Source organism: Homo sapiens, chromosome 2, assembly GCF_000001405.40.
Source record: "Homo sapiens chromosome 2, GRCh38.p14 Primary Assembly".
Taxonomy (NCBI): domain Eukaryota; kingdom Metazoa; phylum Chordata; class Mammalia; order Primates; family Hominidae; genus Homo; species Homo sapiens.
Window position 1 is genome coordinate 83,256,131 of NC_000002.12, and position 25,544 is coordinate 83,281,674.

General features: G+C 36.9%; 1 long non-coding RNA gene across 1 annotated transcript in view; it reads right to left on the reverse strand.

Annotated features, from left to right (window-relative positions):
- Window positions 1-403: 403 nt before the first annotated feature.
- LOC105374833 (uncharacterized) overlaps window positions 404-25,544 on the reverse strand; it is a 36,976-nt gene continuing 11,835 nt past the window's right edge. The window contains exons 2-3 of the long non-coding RNA XR_940306.2: window positions 989-1,102; window positions 404-759 (exon numbers count right to left, since the gene is read on the reverse strand). This is a non-coding gene — a long non-coding RNA (uncharacterized LOC105374833). The remainder of the gene's footprint in view (window positions 760-988; window positions 1,103-25,544) is intronic.

The following is a 25,544-nucleotide window of genomic DNA, read 5'->3' on the forward strand; positions in this document are numbered from 1 at the left end:
TAAACTTGACAATGCTGTTTCATTAATTAACACAACATTCCACCAACACTCATGCATTCGTTCCTTTACCAATTCAAAAACATTTATTAAAGAATTTCTCAAGTATACCAACCTATCATCAAGCTTCTTCACATGTTTGAAACTCATTTCATGTTAAAGCCTGTCATTACATGCCTATATTTAGCTATTTATTTGAAGATGATGAAATGCTTAAGACAAATAACTTCATAAACTGATAACATTCAAACCTTTCCTGTTAAATGATAAAAGTCAAATGCCTTTGTTCAAAACATCATAAAAAAATCACACTGGGCTATAGCCAATCTTAGAGGCTGTAAAAAAGCAAAACTGAGACCCATAGAAGGAGAATGACTTAGTAAAGGTCACACTGCTAATTGACAGCTGTGACATTTAGAATTTAAGTTTTGCTCCAGTGAGTTTCTTTTTGAGAAAATGGAGTTTTGCAGAAATCAAGCAAATAACCTGACAAGGTAGAGATTTCACTGATGGTAGGGGGAAAGCTTCAGAAAGACTGGGAGAAGCTGAGAGAAACAGCAGAGAAGGGAAGGAATGATGGTATATGTGATGTGTCCATTAGAGTTTATTTTAAAGGAATCCTCAGTCTCTCAGTGAGGTGGCAGAGCACCATGCATTGAAGGACAGATGATGACATTGCTTGGCTTTGGATCCCAGTTCAGTCTGCTACTGGTGATGTGAACTTCACCTACGTATTGAAACTCTGTGTCTTAGATACTCCATCTGAAAAGTGCAGGAAAATAATACACTATCTCACAAATTACTGAGAAGATTAAATTATGTTCGCACATTTCAGAGGAAGTGAATAGCCTACTCTCCAAGTTGTGTTAATTCTTATTAATTATGGCACTGGCCTCCAGGAGGACTGTGTTTGTCCTGAATTTGCTGCTCTTATGGAGAAATAGAATCGTTGAGGAGGAAAGCTTGAATGATGAAGACCTTGGGGACTTACTGTTCAACATGTAAATTTTGAGTTCCAAGGTGAGGGATGGAGTTGTAAAGTACATATTCTTCTGTGTCACTAGAAAATCAATCACACTGATGTGAGTGGATACAGCAGTGCAATCTGGAGATAAAAGGAGAAACATTTAAAAGCATGTGTAGTACAAATGGATGAATGGTTAAAACACAATGTCCTCATTTTCTATGGTACAATAATGAAATCCTAAAACATCAGATATGTTAATGATCATTGTAAGCATATTAGGGATCATTTAGTCCGCAGGACCATTTTACAGATATGGATCCTGATATTTTCGAAAGCAATTTTTATCAAGATCACATATTACCACATAGAATAATTGGAAGACAACTCAAAGGTTCTTGACTTTCAGTCTAGTAAACCCAGGCAAGTAGAGTTAGTCCTAACCAAATTAGCATGGGCAGCATTAGCATCTTTTACACGTGGATTCCCTATTTCTTTGGTATTTCCACCCTGACACACAGTCTGAATTTCTTTTTTGTAGAATGGACCAAAACAGAAAGTATCAGAAGCTAGTGACTAGGCAGCGTAGGGGAGGCAAAAATTTAGCTCTATCCTCTTAGCGTCTCTAGCCGAGCCTAGGGATTAAATAGACGTATAATAGATTAACAAAGGAAAAGCATACACATATGTTTAACATGACTTGGGGCCCTCATGGGAAAATGAAGACCCAAAGAATTAGCAAAACCTAAGTACTTTTATGTCAGGTTGAACAAAAAGGGGCAATTATAGAAAAGTAACTAAATTATGTTGTAATATAAAAAGATGGTAAGAAATTATTTTAATGAAGTCTGTACAGAATTGTGTTAGTTATGACTCCTCTTTGAAAAATGTTTTATTTTCCCTAATTTAGGGAGGACATCTTTCACATGGGAGCTTTTCTCTGCTGCTTTTAGGAAGAAAAAGGAGATTAGGATGCTCTTCCTACATCTGCTGTTTTTCAAGTAACTTTAGCTCAAAATAATCCTAAGCCAAAGTGGCATATGTGAAGTGACATATTCTGCTACTCATCAGTATCCAGGGGCAGGAAAACAGCCAGGAGTTCCAGGAGCTAAGCCTTCCACGTGGAGTAGCAAGACCATCAAGCAAACAGGTTATCAGCACAGCCACTGCAACCAAACATGAGTGAGTGAAGTACAGTCTGTACTCCAAGATTATATTGTGGAGGTCTAAACAGAAACACAGCATCAGAAGAATGTCTGTATTGAACTATGAATAAACAGCAAGGGTGTTACCTCTTCCTAGAACAGTAGAATTTTATGAAGTTTTAGGAACAAGAATTAAAACAAGAACCCAGTTACAGTCACCAGAACCAGGCCATAGGGTCATAGTAGTACTAGCTAACAGACTGACTTAATGTTGAGTCTCAGAGATAGCCTTAGGCCCGTCACATTTCTGCTGATTTTAGGAATAAGTTGCCAAACTTAGGAAATACACAAACTTGCAGTAGGGCTAAGAGTCCTCAGCAATGTCAGTTTGAATGTGTGTGAGCAAAAAAGTCATGAGAATCATTAAAGGTGTCTGGCTTCTCTGGTTGGATGTCCTGTGTGCTTATAATCTTGAGTGCAAGTTAGACCAGTGGTTCATAAACTGAATTGCATTAACACTAGAGTTACTCAGAGATGCTCCTGGCTTCTAAGGTAAAGGCAAAAGGGTCAAATAGTTGGGGATCCCATTTCTCATTCTCCCATTTTTTTAAGTCACCCAGGCTGGATTGCAGTGGCATAATCACAGCTCACTGCAGTCCTTGGACCCAAAAGATCCTTCTGCATCAGCCTCCTGAATAGCTGGGATTATAGGAGCATGACACCACATCCAGCATTTTTTTTTAAATTATGGGGTCAGCTGTGTTGCACAGGCTGGTTTCATAAAATTTTCCCACCACAGCCTCTCAAAATACTGCGATTAGAGATTTGAGCTACCAAACTCAGACTCAGTCTTCTTTTACATATTTCATATGTAGGACTTGATATAAATTTTATTTAAGAAAAAATAATGCTACCAAACTCTGCTCCAAAGGTCCTAGATCTGATACACAACTTTAGAAAAGTTTCAGGATACAAAATCAATCTACAAAAATCAACAAAATTTCCATACACCAACAACTTCCAAGCAGACACCCAAATCAAGAATGCAATCCCATTCACAATAGCAACAAAAAGAATAAAATACCTTTGAGTATGGCTATCAGGGAGGTGAAAGATCTCTACAGTGAGAATTAAAAAAACACTGCTCAAATAAATCGGAGATGACGCAAAGAAATGGAAAAACATTACATGCGCATGGATAAGAAGAATCAATATAGTTAAAATGGCCATACTGCCCAAAGCAACTTACAGGTTCAATGGTATTCCTATCAAACTACCAAAGACATTCTTCATAGAATTAGAAAATAACTATTTAAAAATGCACATAGAACCAAAAAAGAGCCTGAATAGCCAAGGGAAATCTAAGCAAAAAGAACAAAGCAGGGAGCATAGTATTATCTGACTTCAAACTATGTTACAAAGGTACAGTAACCAAAACAGCTTGATACAGGTACAGAAACAGACACATAAGCCAATGGAATACAATAAGTAAATAGCCCAGAAATAATGCAACACACTTACAGCCATCTGATCTTCAACAAAGCAAACAAAACAAGCAATAGGAACAGGACACCCTATTCAACAAATGGTGCTGGGGTAACTGGCTAGCCATGTGCAGAAGATTGAAACTGCACCCCTTTCTTAAACCATATGCAAAAATCAACTCAGGATGGATTAAAGACTTAAATGTAAAACCGAAAACTATAAAAACCCTGGAAGATAACCCAGGCAATATTATTCTGGACATTACAGTGGACAAAGACTTCATGACAAACCTGCCAAAAGCAATTGCAATAAAAGCAAAAATTGACAAATGTGATCTAATTAAACTAAAGAGCTCTGCACAGCAAAAGAAACTACCAACAGGGGAAACAGACAACCTACTGGATGGGAGAAAATTCTCGCTAACTATGCATCTGACAAAGGTCTAATATCCAGGATCTAAAGGAAACTTTAATTTACAAGGAAAAAACAAACAACTCCATTAAAAAGTGGGCAAAAGATATGGAAACTTTTCAGAAGAATATATACATGTTGCCAACAATTATGAATAAAAGCTCAACATTACTGATTATTAGAGAAATGTAAATCAAAACCACAGTGAGATGTCAAAACCACAATGAGATATCATGTCACAATAGTCAGAATGGCTACTATTAAAAAGTCAAAAAATAGCAGATGCTGACAGGTTGCAGAAAAAAAGGAATGCTTATATGCTGTTCATGGGAGTGTAAATCATTTCAACCATTGTGGAAGACAGTGTGGTGATTCCTCAAAGACCAACACAACAGAAATACAATTCAGTCAAGCAATTCCATTACTGGGTATATACCCAAAGGAATATAAGTCATTCTATCATAAAGACACATACACACATATGTTCATTGCAGCACTATTCACAATAGCAAAGACATGGAATCAATCTAAATGCTCATCAGTGGTAGACTCAATAAAAAATGTGGTGCATAAACACCATGGAATACTATGCAGCCATAGAAAAGAATGAGGTCATGTCCTTTGCAGGAACATGGATGAAGGTGGAGGTGACTATTCTTAGCAAGCTAATGCAGGAACAGAAAATCAAATATTGCATGTTCTCACATTTCTCAAATAACTTAAAACAGAATTACTATTCAACCCAGTAATCCCACTACTGGGTATATATCCAAAGGAATAGAAATCTTTCTGTCATAAAGACACATGCACAACTATGTTCATGACAGCACTATTCACAATAGGAAAGACATATAATCAACCTAAATGCCCATTAACTGTAGACTAGATAAAGAAAATATGGGACATATACATTATGAAATACTACACAGCCATAAAAACGAATGAGATCATGTCCTTTGCAGGAACATGGATTGAGCTGGAGGCCATTATCCTAAGTGAACTAATGCAGGAACAGAAAACCAAATACCACATGTTCTTCCTTTTAAGTGGGAACTAAACATTGAGTACACAAGAACACAAAGAAGGGAACAATGGATATCAGGGTCTACTTGAAGGTGGAGGATAGGAGGAGAAAGAAGATTGAAAAACTACCTCTCAGGTACTATGCCTATTACCTGGGTGATGAAATAATCTGTATACCAAACCCTCATGACATGCAATTTACCTATATAACAAACCAACACACATACCTCTGAACCTAAAATAAAAATTAAAAAGTTATAAAAATAAAGTTGAAAAACCACTATTGAATGTCATGTCTCTTTTTCAAATCTTTCCTGTCCTGATTCCCATTCTTTCAAGTTCAAGTACTTGTGAATATTATTAACTTCATTGAACTCAGATATTTACATGCAATAATAGAATTATTCATTCATTTCTTTATCTGTTATCTATCTATTCATTCTCTCAGCAAACACTGAGAGGATATAAAGCACATAAAATATGAAGCACAATCCTGTGTGGTGACAGACATCCAAACAAACAAAAGAGTATTGTCAATAAAGTACAGATATAGATTTCTGACATACAGTGTGGAGAAACAAGCTCTGCTGGGGGTGTGGTGGTGGCGGGGCAGGGGGTGGTGGTGGGGGATGGTGGCAGTTAGGGGCCTCCTGGAATACATAACATGGATTTTTAAAAGGTTGTTTGTCTCAATCACACAATGAGAAGTAACTTGTAGTCTAAGAGACCAACATGTTCAAGGACACACTGAATTTTTTTAAAAAATCAATAGACCACTTCTGCTGGTTACCATATTAACATTGCAACAGGCTCCTCCTGACTCAAAGTTAACTTTTGAGAGCCTTTGTGGAAGGTTGCTAGAAGCCTGTCTTTGGTGTGGCTCTCACCACTGGCTAGCCCTGGAGAGTATAAAATCCTGGCTTTCTTGTACCAAAAAAGTTTTTTTCTGATTTTTTAAAAATCATGGGAAATATCACCTAATACAATTGTTAAAAAATAATTTGTCAGTAAACTACCAGCCCAAGTTAATATGAGGCTTCAGGAAAAAGACCTGACAATGTGACCCTTTAGCAACAGAACATGGTTGTTATTATTATCTTATTTGATGTGATGCTTTGGCATTGGTATGAACACATGCCCAACTTCAGAGGGTCTGATTTTGACAGCAATATCCTTGAGTTCCAGCCTCAGAGGGGGCTGATCTAGCAGGCAAGTGAGAATCCCTTATCATTCAGAGTTGGAGATGTTAGGATATTTTAATCTTTCCAAAAATATCAGGAGCGTTCATTAAAAGCTTGAAGGGATCAATTCATTTATAGACAAAATAAAGACTCGAGAAACTTTGCAGTAGAAACTTCCAGGAGAAAGAACAGAACAGACTGTATTAAGAGAGAAGCTAGTTTTAAGAAACAAAAACATAGAGCTATTTTGTGCCTTGAGATACCACCCTGTCACAAACAAGGGAAGCAATCCCAAATCGGCGTACCTGTCTTCTCTCCTTCTCTTTCCCTCAGGAGCCTACCTAACGATTCGTAAGAGAAGTCCAGGCATGGGCCTCACTTTCACATCTGCACAGCGGTTCTGGACACTGATGGACCTCATGAACAAAGGGCTCTCAGCGGAAGAACACGATATGTCAGAGTTGACAGCCATTGAGAAAGCACATACCTGTGATTTGTGACTCAGAGGCTTTAGGGGTAGGCTGTTTTCTGAGTGTTGCTTTGTTTTTGTGGTTCGTATTTTTTTTTTCTTATTATCTCCCTGTAGACTAAATCATATTCATGATATTTGCAATGGCTTTTTGGTCTGTGACTGCTTAACTCAGATAATTAAACCAAGTGGAGAGTTCTAATGGGATCCATTTCATGGAGTCAGGTCTTTGTGAAGTGGACTTTGATGCATTATACTATTCCCTGGTCCTTGTCCCCTAAATGCTATTATATAGTAAAGAAGGTGACTGGTCTAGGTGAAAACAAAATTAAAAATCAAAAGAAGGCCGAGCGTAGTGGCTCATGCCTGTAATCCCAGCACTCTGGGAGGCGAAGTACGCAGATCACTTGAGGTCAGGAGTTCGAGACCAGCCTGGCCAACATGGTGAAACTCCATCTTGACTAAAAATACAAAAATTAGCTAGGCATGGTGGTAGGCATCTGTAATCTCAGCTACTTGGGAGGCTGAGGCAGGAGACTTACTTGAACCTGGGAGGTAGAAGTTGTAGTGAGCTGAGATCACGCCATTGCACTCCAGCCTGGGCAACAAGAGTGAGACTCTATCTCAAAACAACAACCAAAAAAATCAAAACAGAAGCATCACAACTACCAGAGGACATACACTAAAATAGTTCCTTCCTTCCTTCCTTCTTTTCCTTTCTTCCTTCTTTCTTTTTCTTTCCTTCTTTTGTAAACAAATTAGTTTATGTGTGACATTATCTGTGGTAACAGAAGTGCAGTGAATATCCTTAGCCCACCTGGTACTGAAAAGAGTACCAGGGTATATCTAGATTTATAACTGGGTAGACATATAAATCTAGGTATATTCTAAATTGTCCCATGATTTTCCCTCAGTGAATGGAAGTCAATGAAAAGTTCATCATTGACCATGACACCACCAGAAATCATATTTTGATTTTATCCTAAAAAATTCAGTCAGATTACAGGAAGAGAAAAAAACAACAACAAACGGAAAACCTGAAAGAAGGCCTACAATGAAACTATCAAATATAAACAAGTAACAACATTGGATTGGACTTCAAAATAACATCAGACTTGTTACTACTGATATCAATCTTGCGGAATGGGTGCAATGCCTTGTGAAAGGAACATATCTTGGGCACCCCAGATCACTAACCTAAAAGGAAAATTCAAGCTGGAAACTCCTCAGGGCAAATCTGCCTCTGATTCTATTCAATTATTTTCCTGTTCACTGAGATGGATGCATATTCTGACTGTCTCATTTGGAAAGGCTTATCAGAAACTCAAAAGAATGCAACCATTTGTCTCTCACCTACCGGTGACCTGGAAGCCCCTTCCCTGCTTTGAGTTGTCTCTGCCCTTCTGGACTGAGCTAATGTACTTCTTACATATATTGATTGATGTCTCATGTCTCCCGAAAATGTGTAAAACCAAGCTGTGTCCTGACTACCTTGGGCACATGTCATCAGGACTTCCTGAGGTGGTGTCACGGGCACACATTCTTAAGCTTGGCAAAATAAAATTTCTAAATTAACTGAGACCTGTCTCAGATTGTCTGGGATTATAGCCTTCAACATTCTGGGAGAAAATTATTTTGAAGCCTAATTTTTATATCCAGTTAAATGATAAAATATGAGGAGAAAGATAATAGTAAATATGCAAATACTGAAACAAAAACAAACCAAACCTTGAAAGTTTTATCTGACCAGTGTAGGAAGCTAGGACATGGTCCTTCAAAATCAAGGAAATAACCTAAGAACAAAGAACTCATGTGATCTACAAAACAATGAGCCAAATGCAGAAGTAAAGTGCGCTGAATTTGCAGGTCCTCAGCAATACAGAGACCTGGAGGGCAATCTGTCCACATTGGTGCTGGAGGGCTAGGGCTCTATGAAGAAAGAACAGTGACAAAAAGGGAGACAGTTAACCATCTTATGTGTTTACACTAAGGGATAGTTGATTTAAGCTGCTGTCCTATATTTTGGGATACAGGAATTCCATAAATAAAATAAGTGGCAAATATTAATTGCATGTGAAAAAATTAACAAGGAAAAAAATGTAAGCCTAGTTCATAACATGAGTCAGCAGGGAACACTAGTTCACACTCATGGTAATATAAAACATTGATTTAATCAAATGTAAGAGATTTATTCAAGGATGGAAAGAAGAAATGCACTTACAGAATGCAGTATGTATGTGTGTTTGCCTGTGTATGTGTGTGTGTTATTTTGGGGATAAAATGAAGTTAGATTTAGTATGGACATTGGAAGGGAATGGCCATGCTTCATTCTAAAGTTTAATGTTGTAAATTATACAGTACAACTTCCACTTTGATTGAAACATAAAGTAAGGCTGGGCACAGTGGCTCAGGCCTGTAATCCCAGCACTTTGAGAGGCAGAGGCAGGCAGATCACTTGAGGTCAGGAGTTCAAGACCAGCCTGGGCAACATGGTGAAACTCTTGTGTCTACTAAAAATACAAAAATTAGCCGGGCGTGGTGGTGCATGCCTATAATCCCAGCTACTTAGGTGGCTGAGGCACAAGAATCACTTGAATCCAGGAGGCAGAGGTTGCAGTGAGCAGAGATCTTGCCACTGCACTCCAGCCTGGGCAACAGAGAGACACTCAGCCTCAAAAAACAAAACAAAACAAAATCAGAAACATAAAGTAATATATAGGTCATTTTTTCAGAAGCTGTTGATTCAGACCATTGTGTTCTAGAGTTGATGTTTTGAAGGAGTGACATGCTATCTCTCATAATGCTTAATGTTACTAAAAAAAAAATCTGGGAGAACTTGTGGAAATAGGCAGAGCTGGAAGAAATAAAGGAAAGAGACTGAGGATTGCTACTTCTCTCTTCATAATCAGCCTGTGTGTCATTCCAACATGCATGCTGCAAATTGCTTATTACAAATTCTGAAGTATGGATGCAACTCAGTTGGGTCTTTTTTCTTCTCTTCCCCACCCCTTTCTCTCTCCCCTGCTGCCCAATAATCTACAATTTTGAAAGTGACTTTTGCAAAACTGCTCATCTATCCCCTTTTAAAAATCTAAGGTGTGCTATATAATAATTTGTTTATTTTCTGTGAAAGGAGTTGGGTACTGCTCAGAGCAAATCTGCCTCCCATTCTATTCAAAGTCATCTCTTTGGTCACAGAGACAGATGCATATCTGATTGCCTCCTTTAGAAAGACTTAGCAGAAACTCAAAAGAATGCAACCATCTTTCTTTCACCTACCTGTGACCTGGAAGCCACCAGTCAGGGGTCCTTGCTTTGAGTTTGCGCTGCCTTTCTGGACAGAGCTAATGTACTTCTTACAAACATTGATTGATGTCTCGGGTCTCCCTAAAATGTGTAAAACCAAGCTGTGCCCTGACCACCTTGGGTACATGTCATCAGAACTTCCTGAGGCTGTGTCATGGGTGTTGTCTTCAACCTTGGCCAAATAAACTTTCTAAATCAACTGAGACCTGTCTCTAAATTTTGGGGTTCAGATTCCTATAGCACTTACTCTTATTTATTATGAGTAGGCTGGTTACTTTTTTAAAAAAAATTATGAAACATTTTGTCAGGGTTCTGTTGATTGGGATTTTGAGTTAAATGAGCTTTGTGCTTAATAGTGAACAGTTTTCCTCCTGGAGAAGAAATTGTGCTGGCAGAATTAGGATGAGCCAGTGTTTGAGGCTATTTCTGCCCTCCAGTTCCGCCTTTCAAATTGCATTTTTTTTTCCTGAGAAATGATAATGTTAAAAATTTGGCCAGGTGTCTTTTTTGAATGTTAAAGACCAGACAGACCAAGCTCTGATTTGCCAGTCAGTTACTGGAGACTAATTTCAGGGTTTTATTTTAGATATCTAGCTTTACTAGCTTCACTGATTCACTAGCTTTATATTTGTTGCATATGTCACTAAGTAACAACTTATCTAATTTGTTAGGGACACGTGTGACCCTCACTGTCATTAACTCAGTTTCAGCTACACAAATTTGTGAGGATTCAATATATTGATGGATTAATGTCTGGTACACTATCCATTGTGAGAAAATGTGATGAATAACCCTGTTTGTAAATGAGATTCTGTAGCCAATGTTTGGCCTACTTAGGAGAGCAAATATACCTAATGGGTTTCATATATTAGCTATCTCTATGCTGATCGATTCTGCTTCTGATATGGCCAATAGATACATTAAAAGGGTTGCTCCTTGAAAACAGGTCCTAAGCAATATATTCTGATTACCAAGGGATTTTGAAAGTAAAGTTTTCTTTTATCTGCAAAGGCTTACTTGCCTTTAGCTAGAAATAATCTCTTCTTTTTTTAGCTATGAATTTATTTAGGTATTTATCCAACATGAATTTATTCAGTATTGGGTTTCAAAGATGAATGAGACATGCTCTGTTCTCAAAGTTTGTATAGTTCATTAGAAAACAGATATGTAAAGGATTAGGGCAAATTTATTATTTTAAAAGTGCAATTGTTCTGTTTATTTAAGGTATGGATGGCTCAAAGGGACAAAAATGCTAAGATTTTCTCCTAAGGGGACAGATGACATAGTGGGTTCCAAATGGAGAGAATGATGCCCACATAACTCAAAGAAACATATTTCTTATGGGAAAAGTAATCTGTAGCTCTGCACCATGAGAGAAGGCTAGAGATATAGCTGTATGCCATGAGAAAACAGTTCATATAATAAACTCTAGGACCTGAAAGTGTAGACAAAATGAGATGCCAGTAGAGATCTGTTGATGGTCATAAACAAATGAATAATGTGAATAGAATTTCAATTAGAAGGCTGTGCAGAGTGGTTATAAACCTGGAGACAGGGCTTTAGTTAAGGTACCAAGTAAATCAAATATGAAAAAAGGTGGACCAGACATTCCTGCCATCAATGTCAAAGAGTTTCAATTTCTCCACATTTTCATCAATACTTATTATTTTCCATTGTTTTTGATTAGGTATGAAGTAGGTGTGAAGTGATGTGACATGATATTTTATGTAACTGTTATATATATCTTTTACTCAATATGTCCTACATTACCAAACATACAGCAGATTATATATATATGTATATGTATTATATATATAAAAATACAAATGTGTAACTGTCATTAACTCAATTTGAGCTACACAAATATTTTAAATTTATAAAACTACATATGTATTATATATACACACATACACACACACTTATATATGTCATTTGATTATAATTCAAATCAGGACGAATCCTTATAGAAAAGTTTTCTTTAGGTGTATATTTACAGAAATTTGGAATATTTTTATAGCCAACATAAAATATTGTGGATGTACAGTGACAAACTGTGGATATTCCTAAAAGGGAATGCTAACAGCAATGAGAATAAGCTAGCTACTGCTGCACGAGAAAAGAATGGATGAAAATCACAAAGATAATGCTCAAAAAAAAGAAGTTGCACACAAAAGACTACATATAATATAATACCATTTATATTTTAAAAACATACAAAAATATATGATGTTGGTAGTCAGCATAGATGTTTTAGCCTTGGATAACTAATGCCTGCAAGGAGATATGAGGAGGGTCTAGTCAAGTTCTGTTTCTTGTTGTAGGTGCCTGTTACACGTGTGTGTTCACTTCACCAAAATTCCTCAAGCTGTAAACTTATAATTTTTATACTTTTCTTCATAGGGTTTTTGCAATTAGTAAAGGAAGGAGAGGAAACAAAAACATAAGAGTTTTCTGTTTGATAAAAGCTTTCATGGATTTTTTTCTGAAGCTGAATTACACAAGTTTAAATCTTGGCCCAGTCCAGAAACAGCCATGAGACATGGATTATCACATGTCAAATATCAGTGCCTCAGTTGCCGTAACTGTAAGACTGGAGGATACATATTTCCATGAAGGGTTTTTTAATGACTAAAATATATAATATGTATATTTTTCTGCCACATAATAAACACTTAGTAAGTATTGCCTCTCTTTCTCTCCATCCATCATATGTGTGGTATCACAAAGCTGAAGTTATTTTTAGCAGTTAACATGATGAAATTTTAATAACATCTTGCAACTATTTAGGATATTTATAATTAGCCTATTTAAGAGTAAATTAAAATAATCAGCCTTTCTTTTAATTTTCTCATTTTAGAATAGCTAAAAAAGTAAATATAAATTTTTATTTGAGATATTTGTGTGGTTCCATAAGTTATCATAAATTATAACTTAGAGAAAGAAGAAAGATTCCTGAGCAGATTTTCTTCAGCCATAGCTCATGGATTTTCTCATTTTCTCATTTTTAGCTCATTATATATTCAGGTTTTTAAATCATACTCCACCAACCCTGAGGTTCTGAATAATAAGTCATGATTTCTGTCTTAGAAGTTTGCATTTTCAAAATTGTTAGGTGACTGTAATAGTTACTTTATGGACCATATTTTAAGAAATACTGTTGTTCTTGTCTTCATCCTATTTTACCTCCATCCTTTTTATTTATTTTTTATTTTTTTCCTCTGCTGTGCTCAGTATTGCCGGGATTACACAGTGAGAGGAAGAGAAAATTAGTAGTGTCCCTCTCCCTCACCTCAGAGTGGATATTTAACAGTCCAGGTGTGAGTTAAGGGCAGAGTCCCATCCATGACTCTACCTGGCACCTGAGAGCTCCACCTTGGTTTCATATTCCACCAGTTAACCCTTGATCCTCAGGCTCCATGACATCACAGCCTCCCTTTGTCCCTCTACCCTGAGGAGTGAAAGCGCTTTCCTGCTTTGACTAATGCTCAGATTGCCAGGCCCTCCTCTTTTTGGCTTCTTAGCTATTCTCTCACATTTTAAACCAATTCCCTGTGCTAAATTTCATGTACTTTAAATATTTGATTGAGTTTCTCGTTTCTGGTTTTAACCATAACTGTTATAACTCCCATAGTTTTTTGCCCTGACATTAAATTCATGATTTCAAATGTCAACTGTATTAATTAATTCCAAATTCAAGCTGCACTTAATGCCAGCCAACTGGAGTACAGGAATCAAATTGGTGACATGGAGCCAAGTATAAGGGTTAAACAGAAACACTTCTATGACAGGTCCTATTGAATTAGCAAGTAAGGATTTCATTTTTTCATTTATTCATATATTTATTGAAGTACAGAAGGCCACGAAGAGATAAAAAGAGGGAGAAAAATAGGTAAAAATGCTCACTGACTTGTTTTACTCATTAAGGTTGCCACACAACATCAAGCTAATAAAATAAGATTCAAAGACTACTGGAACTGAGCTCATTAAATCTTTCGGGGTCCACCATGATGCTTTGCATTAAGACTCCATGGAGGAAGAGGTAACTCCAATGCCTTTGTTTTTTTTCTTTCACCACAATGGCTTTTTAAATGTTGCTTTAATTGACCAATAAAAATTGTGTGTGTAAGGTATATAACATGATTTTTTTTATTTTAAGGGAGACAGGGTGTCACTCTGTCACCCAGGTTGGAGTGCAGTGGTGTGATCATAGCTCACCTCAAACTCCTGGGCTCAAGCAATATTCCTACCTCAGCCTCTCAAGATGCTAGAACTACAGGCACATGCCACCATGCCCGGGTATTTTTTTTTTTTTTAATTTTTAAATGTTTTTGTAGAGGTGCGGTCCCGTTATATTTCTCAGATGGCCCCCTGGCCTCCCAAAGTGCAGAGATTATAGGCGTGAGCCACCAAACCCAGCCTTCATAATGTTTTGAGATATATATATATATATACGCATTGTGGAGGAGCTAAATTAAGCTAATTAACATGCATTAACTTACATACTTTTCATTTTTTACTATGAGAACCCTTAAAATGTACTCAGCAATTTTCAAGTATAGAATTGTGAAAGGAAAATAAAAATCTGGGACTCTAATTTCACTAGGCCAAAAGAAAACAATGTAAGCTGAAAACTGAGTTGTGCAAGAAACTACCTTTCCTTTTGTTTCTAAGCATATAGCTACAGATAAAAAGTTAAATATCTCCACAAGTAGCTACTCTGTGTTCACCTTATCTTATGTGAAGTGCTGATTTACTGAGTGTGAGACAAATGTATAATTGACTATTCCCCTACCTGTTCCTTTTCTCTTGCAACATGTAGGTTCAGTAATGTGACCATACCCTCCCTCTTCCCCTTCCAGCTTGCCTTTCCCTCTTTAAATACTGAACCCCTCCAAATCATCTTTGGAGAAAGGCATCGACCTATCTCCTAGGCATGTATCCTTAACCTTGGCAAAATAAACTTCTAAATTTACTGAGAACTGTCCCAGATACTTTTTGATTTACAGAATACATTGTTATTAACTATAGTCACCATGATGTTCAATAGATGTCTTGAACTTATCCCTCCAATAACTTTTATTTCTGTTTCATGCTGCAAAGATTCTAGACTAGAACTGTGAAGCCATGGACTCTTATCCCAACTTTGCCACTCAGTCAGCAAGTGACTTGGGGCCTTGTTCTGTCAATATATAAAATTAGGAAGTTCTGAGCAAATCTCTACCTGTAATACACTGTGATTCTTGCTCATGTGGCTTTCTGGGTTTTTTTTTTTTTTGCTTGGTTTGATTGTTTGGTTATTTTTCTCCTTAGGCAGCAAGAAATAGCTGACATTAAATGACTCAATGCTAATGAAATGTATGAGTGCTTATAATGCCAACAGAAAAAAATTAATCACCTAAATAACTGCACATACGCGCTTTCCTGCGTAGCAACAGCCCTCTTCCTACTACAATAGCCAGGTCACACAATTTGGGCAGAATTATGATGCAACTTTGCTTAACTTGTCACAGAGATAATTGTATTACATTTGCACTGATGACATTTTATTCTACAGTAAAAAAAGACTGAGTTTTATACAAATTCTTAATATATTGTTAAGAATTAATATTCCTAATATGTTATTATTAAAATATGCTCAAAAAATTTTGAGGAATTTTAAATTTATCTTCAAACATATTTATTTGTAGTGATGCACAAAATATATCTAATTGTAGTGAGTTCACTATTTATCATTTATTGCATATCAATTTTAAAATATTTTAAAAATAAATTCTCAAAATTACAAATGAGGAAAGAAAGAGCAAGTGAAATACTTTTCTTTTTATGAAGAATTTCTATACACGCTCATCTAATCTTATGATTCTCTAATCTGATGTGTTAACTAAGCTCTGGAATCCCCAGAACTTCTGACCCATCCAACATCTCTGCCCATTTTTCTTATTAAACTATCAATTTCCTTTAGCTTTTCCTGAACTTCCCTTCTAAGATTAATTGTAGCATTCATTTTTGTTCACAGATAGTTTTTGTCATTATTACTTTATATTTACCATCCCCTTTTTATGCTCCTTAAATCCATATTGTTTACTTCCTTCTTCTTAACATCATAATGGGGACCATACTTCACTATTAGAGTGTTTCCTGTGCTCTATCACTCGTCACTGTCTTCACTCTTCAGGGCTGCACCCTCAAGGTAAAGAAACAAGGATGTATGCCTTTTCACTTTTGACAATGACCAAATGCTACATAAGATTTGTAAGACTACCATAACCATATATATATATATATATAAACACCCACATGTATAAATGTGTGTGTGTGTATATATATATATATATAGTTCTGATATATATATGGTTCTGATATATATATATGTATATGTATATATATATGGTTCTGATATATATATATGTATATGTGTATATATATATGGTTCTGATGTATATGTACATCAGAATGAAATATTCTAGAACCAAAAATGAACAATTGACATTTTGTCATATTTGCTTTATGTCTTGTGTATGCATAACTTCTCTTAAGCCATCAATTATTACCTAACAACTAAATTCCACAACCTATAATCAATCAACATCCATAAGTGATGTGTTTGTATGACTTCATTGTCACTATTCAGTGAATCTTGCGTCTTACAGCTCTCTCCTGTTAATCTCCAATTCCATTGGCCTTCTTTGATACTGCCATTAGGAGAAGCTCAATATTCTACCCAACTCCACTCTCGGCTTTTCTTCAAAATGACTTAGGATGACAGCAAGAGAATATTTTATGTTTTGGGTATTTTCTTTCTTAGGAATTTGAATTTCTATTTTGATCTAGCTGGATGGTAAGATTTGCTTGAGCCTTCTGGTGATTAGGCATCTCCTATAAAGATACTTTGATTAGCTAATTTGAAAAGATCTGCATCAGGTCTTTCGGAAAAATCTCTTTTAATGCTCCATTGTTTTTCTTGGTTTGTATTTTCCTTTATTTCCTTTTTCTCACCATTGTATTAATAAAAATTCTGAAGATTCTAAATTAAGGTACAAGCCTAAGAAAACACCAAGAACTAGTGTTGACATACTTTTACGGTTCTGAGACCTAGGTCTACCTGGAGAAAAGACAGAAGGAATCCTTGTACTTCTACATCATTAAACACAGTTACCTGGAGAACAGATTACGGCCTGAAGCAAATGCTTATAGAAAAACATAATAATGCCTAGAGCACACTTTCATTATCTCTCTTGTAAACCTAGTACAGATATAAGAAGTTTCTCAGTGTCAAGGTTTCCTTATCAGCCAAAAATATTTGGATGAAGGTGCTTGCTTCTTTTGTATGCTGGTGTATTAAAGCTTGCTGGTGTTTCCTGCTCTATTCATTCTTCAACAGTACATGATTCCCAGAATTCAAAATGTGATCCTGTTTGTTCTTTGCTCTGTATTCACAGAGTGACCTTATTTGTTTTCAGTTTTTCAACTGCTATTTCCATGTCATTAAGTACAAAATCTGTAGTCTTATCTGAAAATGCTCTCATGTGATAAACACATTTCATAATGCCTAGTGGACATTTTTATATGCAAATTCAGTGGCACTTAACATGTATGCAAGATAATTTATTATCTGTCTTACAATTTATGTCCCATTTATGACCCAATTCTCACATTTCTTTATTTCTCTTAATAATACTACATTTCAAAAAATTGTTTAAAGTTAAAAACACAACAAAAATGACAAAAAAACTTGGTGCACAATATGTGTCTCAACTCTGTGTAAATAGTCACTATATTCTGTCAATTGTAATTTAGCTATATCCTTAAATCTGATTTTTCTTTCTACCTATGCTGCCATTCATTTTATTGAGTCCTTATTATCTATTGCTTGAATTTCTTACTGCTGTCCATGCCAATGAGTTTATGATCACTCCAGACCATCTAGCACATGGCTTTTCACTTCCCACAACCATGGGGTAAACCTTATGCCTTACTCCTGTCTATATTTGCATTCTCCTTTCTCACTACCAGTATAACACTGAATTTCTCTCCATTACATAGATTAAATAGGACCAAAAATCAGCTCTATAGCTTTGCATTTAAAATGTCATTTGCCCTAAATGTTATTCCCTACTTGTATATGCGACATATTCATGCTCATTTTTTCAGGATTTCAAAAAAGTTTTTTTTTTTTTTTTTTTTTTGAGATGTAGTCTCACTTTGTTGCCCAGGCTGGAGTGCAATAGCATCGTCCTGGCTCACTACAACCTCTGCCTCCCAGGTTCAAGCAATTCTCCTGTCTCAGCCTCCTGAGTAGCTGGGATTACAGGCACCCACCACCATTTTTTTGTATTTTTAGTAGAGGTGGGGTTTTACCATGTTGGACAGGCTGGTCTCAAACTGCTGACATCAAGTGATCCGCCCCCCTCGGCCTCTCAAAGTGCTGGGATTACAGGCGTAAGCCACCATGCCCTGCCCAAAAAAGTATTTGTTTAATAAATTTTTTTCTTAACAACTGGAGAGCGAGTTAGCAGCTCAAATATCACATCCAACTGATATAATGTTAATAACATAATTTAAAGACATGTTTGTATGAGAATTCAGGGGTACAGACATCATATCTTCTTCAATCCATCTAGACATCCTTGAATGTATCCAACAATAGGGAAAGTTTATTACATACCTCGTGCTAGATAAAGAAAAGACAGAGAAAAAGAAATACCTACTGTACGCTTAAAAGAAATTCTCTCTGATCATGGGAAAGACATACAAACGAACTTTAAGAGTACATATGTGCAATGTAAAAACATAAACATGATATCTAGATAGCTCCAAGGGGAGAGTGATTACCTTTGTCTTGTACATAACCAGAGGAGGATTGCTTTCAGAAGTGATGTCTGATATGAAATTCTATGGATGAATTTGCATGGGCCAGGTGTATTGGATGGGGCTGGAGAGGACATTCCAAAGACAGAGGATGACACATACTAAAGCAATGTCTGTCTATTGAATTAATTGTAATGTTGCATTCAATCGTTCAACCAATGTTTCTGATAACTATTATATGTAAGGAACATGTGGTATTGAGGATTAAGGATTCAGACATGCTCTTGCATTCAGAGTTCAGAATGTACTATTATTACTCACTATCAGAATGATAAATATAATTGCCCAAATAGTAAGGATTAGCTTTCTGCCCCATTAATGCTTGGCATGGTTTATCAATAAGGCAGCAAATACACTGCAAGCAATTCATTATGATTGTCTTTCACATTAGCAAATATGAAATGATCAGAGAAAGCTCTGAAAACCCAAAATGCACTAAACTACAAAAACAAGAAAGCAATGTTCTACTAGTTGGAACTCCCAAAGATTTATTTTCCCCAGAAGCATGAAAATGGATGGGCTTTTTGATTTTTATCCCAGCGCCTGTTCATTCTATTCACCAAGCTGCTTAATCACGTGCTTCTGCCAAAAGAGTGGCAGGCCATATTTCCTAATACGTTTTAATAGTTAAAATTACAAAATAGTAGATGTGATTTATTTGATGTAGCAACAACAATTTGGGATACTCCCAAATGTTCTCCTGGGCTATTTTAGGCAAAAATCATCCTCTGGAAAGGGGAAATGTTTGGTATAAATGCAGTCAAATCTTGATTGAAGGCACTAAAATTTAAGGAGAAACAGTGGATAATAAAAGAACAGGTTTTTTAAGCATATGCATATATTTGCTGTGTCTAATGACACATTACTCTTTAGTTTTTTTTTTTTTTATAGTTAGACATTTAAGCTGATTGATTTATAATCTCTAGCCAAGTACCTACTGACTCAAAACCACCATTTAAAATGTTTGAGGTAGGTCAATGTGGCCTGGCAGAAATTTGAACACACATTTGGTTTTATACATTTCACTGTCCCTTAGAGCTTCTGTTAGATGTGGAGTTTCTCTCCAAGGACATGTCAGAGCTGGGCCTGTATAAGAGCTGATGTGGTCTAGCAAGAAAAAAAAAAACAAAAAAAAAAACACGGAGATCATAGAGAAAATTTTTACTATGGCAGGCAGGTACCTTCTCTCTCCAAGAATAGTATTCTCATAGTATTTAAAGATTGGGAAATAAACAAACACATAAGCAAAAGCATGTTCAACCACCCTAGTGGGCTCAGATGGGTCAGTCCCACTCTAATTGTCAAAAATAGTTGAAACAAACTTTCATCTAAACACAGCAAATAAAAATGCCCATTGCCTTGTCAGATTGGAGCTAATTCAGTGGGAAATCCTCCTTGATTTTCTGTATTATTCCATTCTCACACTGCTGTAAAGAACTACCTGACGAGACTGGGTAACTTATGAAGAAAAGAGGTTTAACTGACTCACAATTCCACAGGCTATACAGGAGGCATGGCTGAGAAGGGAGGCCTCAGGAAACACACAATCATAGCAGAAGGTGAAGGAGAAGCAAGAAGGTCTTCACATGTCCGCAGGAGAGAGAGCGAAGAGGGAAGCACTACACACTTTCAAACAACCAGATCCTATGTGAACTCATTCACTATTAGAACAGCAAGAGGGAAGTCTGCTTTCATAACCCAATCACCTCCCACCAGGCCCCTCTTCTAACACGTGGGAATTATAATCCAACATGAGATTTGGGTGGGGACACAGAGCCAAACCATATCAGTCTTCAGCATGTAAAAACAACAAAGTAAAACAAAAACAAACCTAATTTTTTAAATCATCTTTCTTGCTATATTTCAATACTCAGGAAATTCAATGTACCTTCCTAGAAATTCAGGTGACCTTCCTGTAAATTAATCATTATTTGTCTAACTACTTAACCTCATTAAAATCCTGAAAGCTCTGTTGTGTCACAATTTTGATAATGCCACACAGGCTGATCTATAGGTTAGAGGCAGTTTTGATTGCTCTTTTATGATGGGCAGTTAGGAATAAATGTCACAGACTCACAAAATGATTATAAGTTTTAAATATACTCATAAGCTCCAAATTTACTCACACACATGCACAACACAAATATTAGAGTGACTAATGTTACTTTTAGTGAATTTTGTTTTGTCAGATGAGAAAATGCCAACAAATTAGAGCATAACCTACAACTCTGCATTATGAGCTTCTCAAAATTAACAATAATATCCACCTGACAAATAACACATCGCAGTTGACTATTTTACAAAGGGTAGTGACTCCCAGGAGGCTAATCTAAAAACTTGTCTTCTCATCTTTCTAAAGGATGAAGGCAATAGAGAATTAATGTCATGTTTTTCTCTCTCAGGTGATAAAGGGAAAGTTGCTATATTGTTACTTTCTTTTCAGAGATGTAATCTGGCCTGTTACTTCAAACAGGATGGCCAACTAATTCCCAGTGGTTTCACAGCATGAATGAAACAATGGGTTTCTGGGCAATCTCTACAACCAAGTGACTAAGAACTTTATTACCCCAGCACAGTGGCTCATGCCTGTATTCCCAACATTTTGGGAGGTCGAAGTGGGAGGAGCACTTGAGCTCAGAAGTTTGAGACCAGCCTGGGCAACATAGACAGATGGCGTCCTTACTAAAAACAAACAAAAGAAAAGTAGCCAGGTTGATATGGTTTGACTGTGTCCCCACCCAAATTTCATCTTGAACGGTAGTTCCCATAATCCCCAAGTGTTGTGAGAGGGACCCAGCGGGAGGTAATTGAATCATGGGGGCGGTTTCCCCCAAGCTATTATTGTGATAGTAAGTTCTCACGACAGCTGATGATTCTATAAGGGGCTTCCCCCTTTGCTCGGCTCTCATTCTTCTTTTCCTTGCCACCATGTGAAGGATATGTTTGCTTCCCCTTCTGCTATGATTGTAAGTTTCCTGAGGCCTCCCCAGCCATGCCACAATGTGAGTCAATTAAACCTCTTTCCTTTATAAATTACCAAGTCTCAGGTACATCTTTATTAGCAGCATGAGAACAGACTAATACACAGGTGTAATGGCACGTGCCTGTAGTACCAGCTACTCTGTAAACTGAGGCAGGAGGATCTCTTGAGCCTGGAAGATAGAACCTGGGAAGTCGAGGCTGCAGGGATCCATGAGGTGAGGACGCCACTGCTCTTCAGACTGGGTGACAGAGCAAGACTCTGTCTCAAAGACAAAAAGCAAACAAACAAAAAATAACTTTTTGAAAATTGTGGCTGCCTTTCTACCTAAATAGACCAATTTATTTTGACCTTATTTATAATTCTTTGTTTAAGAAATATCTTAGCATAGAAATTGTTTATCCATAGTTAATCTAAGAAATTTTTTGAAAAAAAACAACATGGTACTTTTGAAAACCTGAATCTGGCACCTGCATTCTTTATCCCAGCCAAACACCAAGTGCTCTTTCTCTCATCCTCATTCTCTTACCTGTAGGAACAGGTATGGAACAGAGATTTGGGGAAAACACGGATTGACAGTTATTCCTCTCCAGGTCCCTAAAAGGCATTATACCTTATACCTAAAAATGGAATCAGCATTGACCCTAACCTTCAATAAGTAGTGCCAAGTTCACACACAATGAGCTCCTTCCTCCTTAACAGTGCACTCACGAAGCCTGTTCATGAAATGACCAATGCTGGAAAGCAGCTGTATAAATCCCTAATTGATTAGTGCTATGACCTTGTACACATCATTTCATCTTTCTGAGCCTCATTTTTCTTCATCAGGAAAGTCCAGATATTGCTCTAGCTCCCTTCTGCCTTCAACTAATCATATTTATATAATTATACAAGCAAATTTTTAGATGGATTCACAATTAATGTATTATGCTTTCATTATTATGTATTAACTCAAAAATAAAGAGAAGTAATAAACTGTATTGTTTATTAATAAAACTATATTTTTAAAGTCCTATCATCCCTCACTTCCCCCCAAAATGCTTATATTCTTCATTTTGGAACTTGCATGGCCTAATTCCTATTTTTTTTTTTTTTTTTTTTTTTGAGACAGAGTCGTCTTGCTTTGTTGCCCAGGCTGGAATGCAATGGCATGATCTCAGCTCATTGCAAACCCCATCTCCCAGGTTCCAGTGATTCTCCTGCCTCAGCCTCCCGAGTAGCTGAGACTACAGGCACATGCCATCACGCCTAGCTAACTTTTGTATTTTTATTGGAGACAGGGTTTCACCATGTTGGCCAGGTTGGTTTCAAACTCCTGACCTCAAGTGATCCACCCGCCTTGGCCTCCCAAAATGCTGAGATTAAAGGCTTGAGCCACTGCTCCCAGCCCTAATTACCTCTTAAATGTTCACCTCTTAATACTGTCACATTGGCAATTCCCAAATTTTGGAGCGGGCACATTTAAACCTCAGTGCTTAGACATTCATGCTTTTTGAGAAGATTTACTCATTCCTGCCACGTGGCTACTGGCTGGGTTTGGAAAATGGGTGGCAGTAGCAGGAGTCGGAAGTGCAGCGAGAGAAAGAGGTCAAGTAGGTATCATTCCTAGCCCTCTTTCCTGTCATTCTGACAGTGGCTGCATCCCACAGGACAAATCATCTCAGATGGCCATTCCTTTTCCATGGAAATGGACTCTACGGATCCAGTCCCGTCTTCTGTCATGTGAGGCCTAGGAGTGGGTGGTAAGTGGCTTTCTGTTGTTGCCAGTCTGTCGGGCTCCACTACCCTTACCTATACCCAAATCTCTTGAATAGCCCCTCAATTATTCTATTCATTTTGACCTTCAAGCTTGGCAACTGTTTCCTATGGGGTACTCAATGCTACGGTACTCTGTATACTCTTTTTGATAATTCTTCGAGATAAACCATTTATTATTTTTGTCTTCTCCTAAAATAAAATTAATTTTAACTGTTATTATAATTTTATTAATTACACATGAATGTGACTGAAGAAAACCCACATTTAACCTCTCTTATCAACCCATTCACTTATAAAGCTCTAGTATGGTTCTCCTTTTATTCAAATATGCATGTTTTCTCTCAACAAAAATTTCTGCCTATGTTTCACCGAGACAATGTTTTAGATAGTTTTATGTCTCTACATTTCTTATTGCGGTTGAGAATTGGATTTCGTTAAATTTTGTTTTCGAACTTATGATTTCTGGCATAATGTCACACTGTTTTGTATAACTGTATTGTATGCAGTCACTTCCAATTGCTTTATGAAATCGTTTTATGTAAAATAATTATAATTTTATTTTTTATATTTGTTTCTGTATCATGTATACACAGGCTGGAATTTAAACAGTGATGTTTAATGTAAATGCTTCACAATGCTTGAAAGAAGAAGCCTAATCTCACCATACTAGAGCTTCCCTAGAAGTGGGAGCTTCTGCTTTCCACAAAATCAAGATTTTTCTATAATTTTCAATAATCTTTTTATTGCTTTTCATGAGAGCAATTGGGGAACAGCAGTTGGGAAAAACAATAAGACCTTCATATTCTTTGAGCCATGTTTCCCAGAGGACAGGACTACCATATTGAGATTGCTAAAGCATCGGTCTATAAAGCAGACAATGATCTCTGTGCAGCTGGCTGTTAAGTATACTTAGACTCTACATTGTGACCTAGATTCTCCACAGACAGATGCCATGATATTGATTCAAGATGAGACAGTAAGATGTCCCTTATTTTGGCACTGGGCCTCAGGCACACATTCCAAACCAGTTTAAACTTGGCCATCCATTTTTCTTTGAGAAACTTTATTCAAAGATGTAACAGCCAGTGCACATTTTACTCATTGTATTTATTTTCTTCAAAAACACTACTCTAACCACAGAGAAGTAGTAACTAACATATTCCAACACACAGTTGTATTATGTTTCTGATATTAAGAGAAAGGACTACCAGGTGCGGTGCCTCACTCCTGTAATCCCAGCATTTTGGGAGGCTGAAGTGGGCGCATTACCTGGGGTCCAGAGTTCAAGACCAGCCTAACCAATATGGAGAAACCCTGTCTCTACTAAAAATACAAGTTGGGCATGGTGGTGCATGCCTGTAATCCCAACTACTTGGGAGGCTGAGGCAGGAGAATTGCATGAACCCAGGAGGCGGAGGTTGTGGTGAGCCGAGATCACGCCATTGCACTCCAGCCAGGGCAGTAAGAGTGAAACTCCATCTCAAAAAAAAAAAAAAAAAAAAAAGAGAGAGAGAGAGAGAGAGAGATAGGACTTTTAGCATTTCACTGTTCAGTACAACAATGACTGTAGCATATCCTGAATCCAAAGCCCTTTCACACATTTTCCATGGCAAAAATCTCATATGCATATTTCTCTATTCTGCTTTACAAAAAATGCATGATCTCTCACATCAGAAGCTTCACGGTTTTGCACATTTACTCTCTCTATATATATATATCTATATTCTAACTCCATCTGCCTGACATGCCATCTCTGATATTTCTGAACTCATTTGTTTTCAAAATTCTGTCTTGAAGCATTCATTAATTATTCTGTTATGATAACATTCTGAATCACATTGAAATTCCAGTGAAATCTTGTTTAAGCCAACTCATGGTAATAACAAGTAAAACAATTATAATGTCTAAAATATATTAAATTCTTAGCATGATTGAAGTACTAGGCCAAACGTTGCCC